Genomic DNA, 11,103 nt, shown 5'->3' on the forward strand with positions numbered 1-11,103 from the left:
TGCCCTAGCCCATTGTAACCACAGGCCTGAATGAACTCACAGGCCTCCTTGAGAAAGCCAACTTTACCAACCTTTTGAAGACCCTTCGTTTTAACAAGTGTGGATATTCTATTGGGGCATTGGGGTGTCAAGGGCCAGAAACTTTAAAAGGGAAAGAAAGAGAAGAAAATCAGGAAGTGGTATAACAAAGGCCTAATTACAAGGGAGGAGTGTCTCTCTACAGACAGGTCACTGGAAGGATGCCAATGGCTCTCGCCGCATAAAGGAAAAGATTGTTATAAAAAGATTTTTAAAAAAAGAAGAAGAAGAAGAAAGAGGCATGGCAGTGGAGACTGGGAGGGTGGGGCAGAGAATAGGGAAATGAATAAGAATAATGACTTAAAAGCTTTCTTTTTTTTTCTGGTTCTCTTCTTTCCTTTCCGCAGATGCTCAGCTGAGCCAGTGCAGCTGGCTCCCTGACAAATGTGGAAAAATCAGCCAATTTGAGCTGGTTGTTAGCACTCCGGGTACAGAGGCTCAGATAAATGAGGGCCTGCCTCAGGTGTGGCAGCTGAGCTTCCCGAGTGTTCTCAAATGATTCTCGGCCAGCGCGAGGCCTCCTGGCCTTCAGGGCCTCATGGGTGCTCCCTTCTATTTCCTGGCTCCACATTCTGATAGGCGTGACCTTGGAAGAAGCATCTTCCTCCATTTGTTCCTCCTCCCCTCCCCTTCCTCCCCCTGACCAGGTCTCCTTCCTTCAAACTGGTGGGGCTTCCTCCCGCTCACTTAGTAAAAAGCCTATAGCACAAGGTCTCTTGTCCCCAGACGTTTGAGCACAGATCTGATAGCCCAACTCAAGACCCCCTCAAAAATGCCTGATGTGTATTCCTTTTCAAATCACTGCATTGGTCCACAGAGTCTCGTGATATGCTGGCAGAATACCCTGGGGTTTCCCTACAAGACAGTGAAGGCTTCTTTGTAAGTGTTCACTAACACCAAATAGTACGCCCCACATATTTATGTCCTCATTGTTATGTCCACCACAGAGTATGAATATGAAAAAAGAACGCACATCTGACCATTCTGTTCAAGAAAAGCAGTCAATATTTTGAGTCAAGTTCAAGGGGAAAATCGTTTTCTTGCAGGTAGCTGTGAAAGTTCCTTGCTTATCAAATTGTCCCCTTTCCAGTGATTCTTGTTTATGCATTGATAAATAAAAAGAACAAAAATGAGGAACTAAGATATTTAGGAGCTTATGTGAGGAAAGTTTCTAGAGGGATGGAAATGATCTAGATCTTGTTTTTTGTTTTTTTTTTTTTTTTTGAGATGGAGTCTCACTCTGTTGCCCAGGCTGCAGTACAGTGGTGAGATCTCAGCTCACTGCAACCTCTGCCTCCCAGGTTCAAGTGATTCTCCAGCCTCAGACTCCCAAGCAGCTGGGATTACAGGCATGTGGCACCATGCCCAGCTAATTTTTGTATTTTTAGTAGGGACGGGGTTTGCACCATGTTGGCCAGGCTGGAATCGAACTCCTGACCTCAAGTGTTCTGCCTGCCTCGGCCTCCCAAAGTGCTAGGATTACAGGCATGAGCCACCACGCCCAGCCCTACATCTTGTTTTAATTGGTGGTTACATGGGTATATACGATTGTCAAAACTCACTGAACTGAACACAAGATCTGTATACTTTGTTGTATCTCCATTATATCTGATTCAAAATTAAAGAATTTTAGGTCTTTTGTTTCAGTAACACATTGAGGTCTACACCAGTACAATGAAGTGGCAGCTACAGTAAAAATGCACAGGGAATACATACATTGTGTCATATCATCAGTTACCCTTTAAATACAATATAATATCTTCAGGCCGGGCACGATGGCTCACACCTGTAATCCCAGCACTTTAGGAGGCTGAGGTGGGTGGATCACGAGGTCAGGAGATCGAGACCATCCTGGCTAACATGGTGAAACCCCGTCTCTACTAAAAATACAAAAAATTAGCCGGGAGTGGTGGCAGGCGCCTGTAGTCGCAGCTACTCGGGAGGCTGAAGCAGGAGAATGGTGTGAACCCAGGAGGCGGAGCTTGCAGTGAGTGGAGATCACGCCACTGCACTCCAGCCTGGGAGACAGGGAGACTACGTCTTAAAAAAAAAAAAAGAGTATCTTCAAAAGAACCTAACGTAATTTTTACACCATCCTCAAATACATTTTAGGAGCCTATAAAGTCCACAGTGGGTCAAAAATTTTTTTATGGAAGAAGAGATGATATTGGGGTTTGTGTGTGTGTGTGTGTGTGTGTGTGTTTGATTACTGCTATTCTTATAAACTGAAAACAAAATATGTTAGGTGCTTGAATTGGTTGTTCTCAGACGTTTTGATGTGGGAAGTACTAGCTGGGAGCTTGGAGGGGAGGGTCAACATAATTGGTTTGTTTGAATTATACTGATTTGCAGATTAAGTAAGAATGTTTGTGTGATTTAGGAAGAGAATGATAGCACTTCAGAGGTGAAAAGGTATCGGATTTATAGGGTCTATTCTCTCATTAAATCAATATAAAAATAGAGGCTCAGAGAAGGAAAACAATTTGTCTACGAACATACAGCTGTCTCGTGCCAAACATGAATCTTCCGAGAGTCAAGTCTGTTCTCCTTCCAGTTTTGCATTAGTTTTATTTTACATGACATTCTCTACAATATTTTAAAGAAAAGATATATTTATATGTCATTAACTTTCTAGAAAGTAATATTTTTATTAATATTAAAAACATCTTCAAAAATTGTTTTTCCCCTGAGAATGGCTGCTTCTCAAATAGTGTGTTTTAAAAAATTAAGATAGTCTACTGATATACTCAAATACTCACATTTATCTTCTTAGAAAGCACCCATGTATATCTTCCACATGATAGTTATGGCTTAAAAAAAATTCAAATTTATGTTGCTGCTGTCCCATCTACCCATCTCTACAATAGAAGATTCTAAAAAGTGATTTTGTCACCAGAAACCCACATTTTCTCCCATCTGGACCTTGAAGTTTCCTTTAACTTTGCTTTAGTGATTGGGCAAGTCATCTTTCTTTCTGTGGCTTTAAGAATTGCCCATGATAAAGTAAAAGAGCCATAACCTCAAGGAAACCATTTATTAGGCTTAATCAAAACATAATACTCTTGTTTATGTCTTCAACACATTGTTTATGGAGAGAGTGAGCCACAATGCACAGACACTATCACGATGCTCCGGTGAAGATGGGTGATTTAATGCCCAAGAGCACAACTGAATCCACTCTAGAGACCAATAGGTGTGGCTCAACCATAGCTTCAAAATTTCAGAGGAAGTTCAGAAACCCCATATGGGTTTGCTTTGCTTTTTCTATTCCTTTTAACCAAAGCTGCCTTCATCATGTATAATCTTTCTTTTTTTCTGAGACAGGTTCTTGCTATGCCACCCAGGCTGGAGTACAGTGGCCCGATCACAGCTCACTGTAGCCTCAAACTCCTGGACTCAGGTGATCCTCCCACCTTAGCCCCCTGAGTAGCTGCGACTACAGGCATGTAATACCACACCTGGCTGACTTTTTTAAAAAAAGCATTATAGAGATGGTGTCTCACCATGTTGCCCAGGCTTCACCATGTATATTTCTTTCTTTTTTTTTTTTTGAGACAGAGTCTGGCTCCTTTGCCCAGGCTGGAGTGCAGTGGTGTGATCTCAGCTCACTGCAACTTCTGCATCCCAGGTTCAAGCAATTCTCCTGCCTCAGCCTCCCAAGTAGCTGGGATTACAGTCACATGCCACCACGCCCAGATAATTTTTTTGTATTTTAGCAGAGACAGGGTTTCACCATGTTAGCTAGGCCGGTCTCGAACTCCTGACCTCAGGTGATCTGCCGGCCTCAGTCTCCCAAAGTGCTGGGATTACAGGCGTGAGCCACCGCACCCACCCCACCATGTATATTTCTGACAGCCTCTTCACAAGGCTGATAACTATGTGATATTCTTGACAGGTCCCCAGTGTCTCTCTCAGCTTGGCCAGGGCCCACCCACCTACCCCTCTGTAGAATCTCGAAACAACACCTCAGCATCCTGGGAGACTGGCATGATAATATTCGTTTTTCAGAGCAAGAACCAAACTGACAAGGAACAGCCATAGGAGGCTCAGATCAGGGCTATCTCCGCTCAGTGACAGGGAGGTCTGTCTCTTTGGGAGAGGTTGAAGACAGCTAAACTGGAGTGGTTGCCAGGGGGAGAGGGGGATCCAGAACACAATAAACAACCACACTGGATTCTGCTACAGTCACAGCATCCCAGAGCTAGAAGAGAGCCTGAAAATCATCAAGCATGGTGGTTATCAAGCAGTTGTTGCTGATGTGTTCAAGCAGTGGAATTCTTTTTGAAATTAAATCTTCTGTGGACCCCTGGCATAGAAAACAATTAAAATTGAGGAAGAGGTTGCTGAGCAGTGAAAACATCCTCATCGTTTGATAGAAAGATTCCTCTCACGGCATACGGAGCCCTGAAACACTGCTGTGGGAAGTTTCCCAGGCTCCATTTGAACATGGGGTTCTCAAAAGAACAGTGACAGGGAGCTCACTCCCACTAAGGCTCACTCCACCATAGGTAGCCCAGACTAGCAGAGGGTATCTTCCTGGCACAGACCTGGAATCTGACTCCTGCTAGCTTATATTCATGGATGTTAGCTTACCTTTGAGGCCAAATAAATTAGCTTGTATCCCCATTTCACATGGGAAAATCTTCATATATTCAAAACTAGCAGGTTGTCTTTTAGACATGCCCTTCATTACATGGCAGGCTGTGTCCATGCCCCATCTCTCCCACACATGTGCCCAAGCTCACCCCACCTCTGCCCCTGCCGCGGCCTTATCAAGACTTCCTGTACATCTGTCTGTGTGTGCTGGGGGCTCAGCCTTCACGAGGACCCAGAGGCTCCTTAGGGAAATCCACAGGCCCTTGTGCATGTGAACAATAAGGAAAGGAAAAGATTTTGCTTTTGGGTTCTTCATCCCCCCTCCCACCAGCTTCAAAGTTGACCCCACCCGTTCTGAATTGAGGGCGATGAAAACTGGCTTGTGGCCATTTAGAAGAGGATCAGATTCTGGAGGCAAATTCTAAACAGACTTTGCATGTGAAAAGAAAATAAAAACAGCTGAATTACAGACAAGAAATTAATCTGCCCCTTTCCCCCTCAAAAAAAGGCATCCTAACAGAACTACTTCAAGATTGCAAGGGGGACTTCCTGCACAGTAACATGAAACGTTTCCATCAGATCAACAGCTGGAAAAGCAAAGTTTTTTTTTTTAAGTGTTAACATTTCACAGTTACAATCGTTTAACAGATGTAAAATTATAGGATATACTTAGCGTTTAGGTTTTAAAAAATTATTAGCTAAATATCTTTTGGAAAATACAGTTGATGGTGAGTTCTTCTTGATGATGATGGCAAGAATATTTTAAATGTTCATTACACTAAAGAAAAATGTTCATTATACTAAACCATACTTTAATCAGCTTAACGTGTGGCTTACACAGGTTTACCTAAGATTAACTGGACATTTTAAGGCCTGGGAACAGATTGTTCTACTGACCAGCCAACTAATGTAAAAGATGAGAAGAACCAAGACTGGGAATGATATCAGATGCAAAGTGAACATCCCATAATCGAAACGGATAATGACACACTGGTGAGTGAAGGGACATCAGGATCACAGGTTCAAAGGCAAGGAGATCCTTGTCCAGGGAGCATGCCTGGGAGAGCAGGGAGAGGTGGTGTCCAGCCACTGCCCTTCAAGTAGGGGAAAAGTGAGTGCAGAGGATTGAACCAGAGAACAGAAGCTGCTAACCTGACGGAAAATAGACCTGGTGAGTGAAGGTTAGTGGAATTGGGGTGGTTTTGACCTCAGAAGAAAGAAAAAGGGCAATTTGATTACTATTGTCCAGCACATGACTGACCCTTATAAGAGGCTTTAGGGAAATTAAATGAAAGCAGGAGAAATTCAGGTGGCCATTTCCAGAGGGAGATCAGGCAAGCAAAGCGGGAAGTGATCAGCCAGGGAATTAGAGGACCTGGGTGGACCCAGCTTGTCACTATCATGTGGGGACACCTGAGATAAGCATCTTACCCTCTTGGGCCTCAGTTTCTTCATCTTTAAGATAAGAAGACTGTAGCAAATGACTATGAAGATTCCTCCAGCTCATGATGATCTTTTAATTAAAAATAAATGGAAAAAAAAGACCTCTCTTAACTGAGGTTAGTAAAAGTATCAAGCAGGTTTCTGAGGACACTCCATTTTAAATTACCTTATTATTGGGCAAATGTCTAACCCACTGGTTTCTTGTAAGTCCTTCCAACATTCTGGCCCTGGCCTGCTTTGTCCCATCCCAAGTTGCAGTCTCATCACTCTGTCCCTCACCACTGTGATAAACACAATAGTTACCAATCCATGGTCTGCTGGAGGAAACAACGCTTTTGAAAAATGAATTAAAAATCCCTGTGAGGGCGCAAGAGTGTGCTATAAAAAGGTCATTAATAACTCAACTTAGGGCTCAGATTCCCATTGGAACTATCAACCACAAAATAATCTGCTTCCTGGCTGAGTAAGGTAAGGGCTCCAAGAGGAGCACAAAGCCTTTGAAGCTGAAATGTTAAGAGTCAGAGGAAGAAAACTAACGTGATGTGCTGGGCTAGTTTCCTTGAAATAGATTTAAGCTTTACAGTGCCGCTGGGAGATGGGCATTTATTATATCTACCACTATAAGCAAGCAATCAAAATTCAGAGAAGTCAAGACGGCTGCCCAAGGCCACATGGGTAGATTGTGGAGTCACTCTTTCAACAAGTATCTCCTGAGTGCCGGCTCTGTCCTAGACACTAGGGATACAGTAGGGGAAGCCAACATGGTAACTGTGCTGGCAGAGTTCACTTTCTAGTGGGAGGAGTGAACAGCTGTAAAAGCACCAGTTAATAGGAAAGAAATATTTGATAGTGTGAAATATGACAAAAATTAAATCAAGGAATAGGACAGAGAGTGACTGAGGGGTTACTTCTATGTGGCCAAGGAAAAAAGAACTCTCTGAGGAAGGGGCATTTAAACCAAGAACAGAACGACAAGAAAGGCACAGTCATACAAAGATCCAGGCAAGAGTCGGCTGAGGTGGGCAGGAGGAAAGAAGACAGTCCTAGAGTGGAGACAGCCAACTTCAAACAGAGCGTGGCCCACGGGGGCAGCCATGAACAGGCAGGGCAGCTGGGGAGCTGGTGGCCACCAAATGAGCTCCTTTCTCTGCCAGGCTGTTGAGGCGGGCTGACTGGTTTCATGTCTGTCTTTCAATAGAATGAATGGGAGGGAAATAGAAACCATGTCCACATGACATTAGTACCTGCATCTAGGAAGGAGGACTTAGTCCCAGGAAGGCTGGCCCTCCCATCTGGCCACCCTGAGAGGTTTCAGTTCCCTTCTGGTTCATGTGCCAAGCTTACCTGTCAGCTTTCACCTCCCAAGGGATGCAGCGTCAGTGTGTTGAAGCTGCAGCATATGAACCAATAAAGCTACCTCTGAGTAACATGGAAGCAAGGTAGGAAGGCAAAAACCACATCCCACTGTGATATCATCAGCCATATTTCTTCCACATGGCAAGTTTTATTTTGTTTAATTTAACAATAAAGTCATTATATTAACTCGATTCAATAGAAGCAGCAGGGGGATTTCTCCTAATTTAATCGTGGGCTTTGGGGCGTCTTGCTCAGTGTTAAAACAATACCATATAAAAATATTAAAGGGATTGTATTATATTGAAAAAAATATGTTAGCGTCTCCAAATGCAGCCTACCTTTAATTTAGAAACTAGTCAGCCTACTTTTTACTTTATCCGAAGTGTCATCTAGTCAAGAGGGCCAATCTCTGCAAGCAAATCATGCCGCTTTAGGGTTTAAACTCCGCAAAGTGAGCATTTCATCCATGGAGGTGATGCTCCAATTTGAAGAGTTATTAGATACACCCAGCCAGGGAATATAAATAACTTGAGCTTACCAGTGTCACAGAACTGGTTTTCTGTAAGTCACTTGAAAATACAAGGACATAGGGCCGGGCATGGTGGCTCACGCCTGTAATCCCAGCACTTTGGGAAGAAGAGGCGGGCAGATTACGAGGTCAGGAGTTCGAGACCATCTTGCCTAACACAGTGAAACCCCGTCTCTACTAAAAATACAAAAAAAAAAAAAAAAAAATTAGCCAGGTGTGGTGGCGGGCGCCTGTAGTCCCAGCTACTCGGGAGGCTGAGGCAGGAGAATGGTGTGAACCTGGGAGGCGGAAGTTGCAGTGAGCCGAGATGGTGCCACTGCACTCCAGACAGAATGAGACTCAGTCTCAAAAAAAAAAAAAGGAAAAAAAAGAAAAGAAAATACAAAGACATAACCAACATTCTGTATCAATCTATGTATCCATTATATAGGCTATATAGTATGCAGTTTAAAACGAAAAGTAGTTCCTAACAATTAACCGTTATAAGAAATAATCTCCAAGCCTTTTAGAAGTCTTGAAGGACTGAAGAGACTATGTAATCTGCTGATTTAGTGATTTGAAATCTGGGGATTCCAAATTCACACACACATATACACACACACAATGGCTAGAGACCAAACAATGTTTTTTGTTCTCAGCTGGCAAAATGAATTAACAAATTCATTAATTAGGATGCTGTTTATGCTTGTACTGAATATATATGAATGCAGGCCCACTCAAGGATTCCAGCTGGGAGATGCCAACTTTTGAAATTCAAAGACAAACTAGATTTATCTTTGGTGCCTTCATAAGCTTATTGTAGTCACACTGACCATGTGGGTTTGTGTGTCTAAGTGAGGCCTGTGAATATTTATTTAACCAAGCAAGTTTTAAAGTCTATTTCATGTCCTTTCAACTACAAAATGCAAAACAAAAAGCTAGCCATGGGTGGTGGGAAGACAGAAGAAATTATCTTTATACAGGACTGCTTTTAGAAGAAGAAAGAAGTGGCTGAAATCTGGGGAAAGGTACAGATAATAGCTGTGATTCACTCCAGCCGTAGCTAACAAGGCCTTGTGCTTTTCCTGGTGGGAAGCAGATGGGAAGGATCTGGAACAGGGAGAACGAGTAGGGAAAGGAATAAGCCTTGGATACACCGCTGTTTCCCTGTCTCTCTCTCACATGGTCTTTCTCTCTCTCCCTCTCTATGAGAAATCTTTTTTCATGGCCCAAAAAAAAAAATGTTTGAGGAACAAAACAAGATCCCATTGTGGAGGGACTAAAGACACGCCACAGGGAGCTTCTGTCACACGGTTCAGATCCCAGAGTGAAGGGGAGTCAGACAAGAGGAGGTTTCAACTCTTGAAATCTTTGTCATGCATTTGCTTTCTTTATTGACAGTACTTACTTCTTGTCATGGAAAAGTGTAATTTGCCAAAAAGGGGGCAGTGGGGAGAGGGGAGGAGTAGAAAGAAATGGGGAGAGAGAGGAGAGAGAAGAGAGAGGGAGAGAGAAAGAGAGAGAGACAGACTAATACGTACAATACAAATAATACAGCAAGAGGAAGCATCCTATTATAGAATTCTTTATGCTTAAAATGGAGTCTGAATGTTTTTTTTTTTTTTCATCTAAAAATAAGCCTGCGACCTTTTGCATTTTTCAGGCCATAAGTATTTCTGCAAGGTCCAGAGTCCCAAGGCACATGGGGGCAGAGTGAGGGCTGTCTGGTCCAGGTCCCCGGAGCTAAGAAGTATACCTGTCAGAGAAGCAGCAGCCAGGTTGAAAGAGAAGAAATCCACAGAGGCCTGGGAGGGTACTCTGAACCCCCACTTCCTCTGTCAGTTATTGATTAAACCTCTTACACATACACACCCGTTCTAGGGAAGCTGAACTTTAATTTTATGCCTCCTGCAGAAAACAGAGATGGATACAGACATGGGTCCGGGAGTAAATAACACTCAGCAACATAAGAAGAACACACACCTGCAAACGTTGCCACGGTTAGATTTTTTAAAGTGTAAAGAAATGAAAAAAAATGTCGAACCTCACTTATAATCAAAGCTATGCAAACTAAAATGTGTTACACTTTTTAAAACTTATCCAATTAGCAAAGATGAAAAAGAAAGATAATACCAATGTTGATGAAGGTTTATGCAGACAGGCACTCTTATGTCTATTCAAAGTTGGAATAGAAATGAGTAGTCTTTCTGGAGTTAAATTAGGCAACATGTTGCAGATGCCTTAAATGTGCAGATTCTAGTGCAGCAATTCCACTTTTAGCAGCGTATTGTATCAGACATATGCAGTAGGATGTTCATCACAGCATTGTTTAGCAAATTGATGGAAACAATCTGAGGGTTCAACAATAGGATGATTGGTTAAGTCAATTGTGTTACATTCATACAACAGATGTGATTAAAAGTTATGCTTGGCCAGGCATGGTGGCTCATGTCTGTAATCTCAGCACTTTGGGAGGCCGAGGCAGGCTGATCATTTGAGGTCAGGAGTTCGAGATCAGCCTGGCCAACATGGTGAAACACCACCTTTACTAAAAATACAAAAAATAGCCAGTCGTGGTGGCAGGCGCCTGTAATACCAGCTACTCAGGAGGCTGAGGCAGGAGAATTGCTTGAACCTGGAAAGTGGAGGCTGCGGTGAGCTGAGACCGTGCCACTGTACTCCAGCCTGGGCAACAGAGCGAGACTCTGTCTCAAAAAATAAAAACAAAAGTTATGCTTACAACAAATACATAACTAATGAAATGCTGAGGAAATGTTGCTAACCTAAAAATGAAATCTGAAAGCTTTCTCTCTCTCTCTTTCTCTATAATATGTATATATACATACACACACATATATGTATTATCCATATCCATACAATGCTTATGTTCTAAGCGTATAGCTAAATGTACTTGCATTACTTAACACTCACAACAACACAATAAAGTATACACTATTATTGTGGCCTTTTCACAAATGAAGAAACTGGAAAATGAGAGAATGAAAACCTAAACTCAGGTGTAGTCCAGTCTAAACTATATAAACTTCCTCTCTTGGCCATGAGTAGGAGTGTGCGTATGTCTGTGTATGTGTGTACATGTGCCTTCCTCATGAATACAGATA

The 11,103-nt window shown here is 42.7% G+C and overlaps 1 protein-coding gene across 2 annotated transcripts in view; it reads right to left on the reverse strand.

The window, feature by feature from the left end:
- RORA (RAR related orphan receptor A) overlaps nucleotides 1–11,103 on the reverse strand; it is a 741,019-nt gene that overhangs the window by 506,503 nt on the left and 223,413 nt on the right. The gene's annotated exons all lie outside the window — the stretch shown is intronic.

The sequence above is a fragment of the Homo sapiens genome, chromosome 15 (assembly GCF_000001405.40).
Source record: "Homo sapiens chromosome 15, GRCh38.p14 Primary Assembly".
Taxonomy (NCBI): Eukaryota; Metazoa; Chordata; class Mammalia; order Primates; family Hominidae; genus Homo; species Homo sapiens.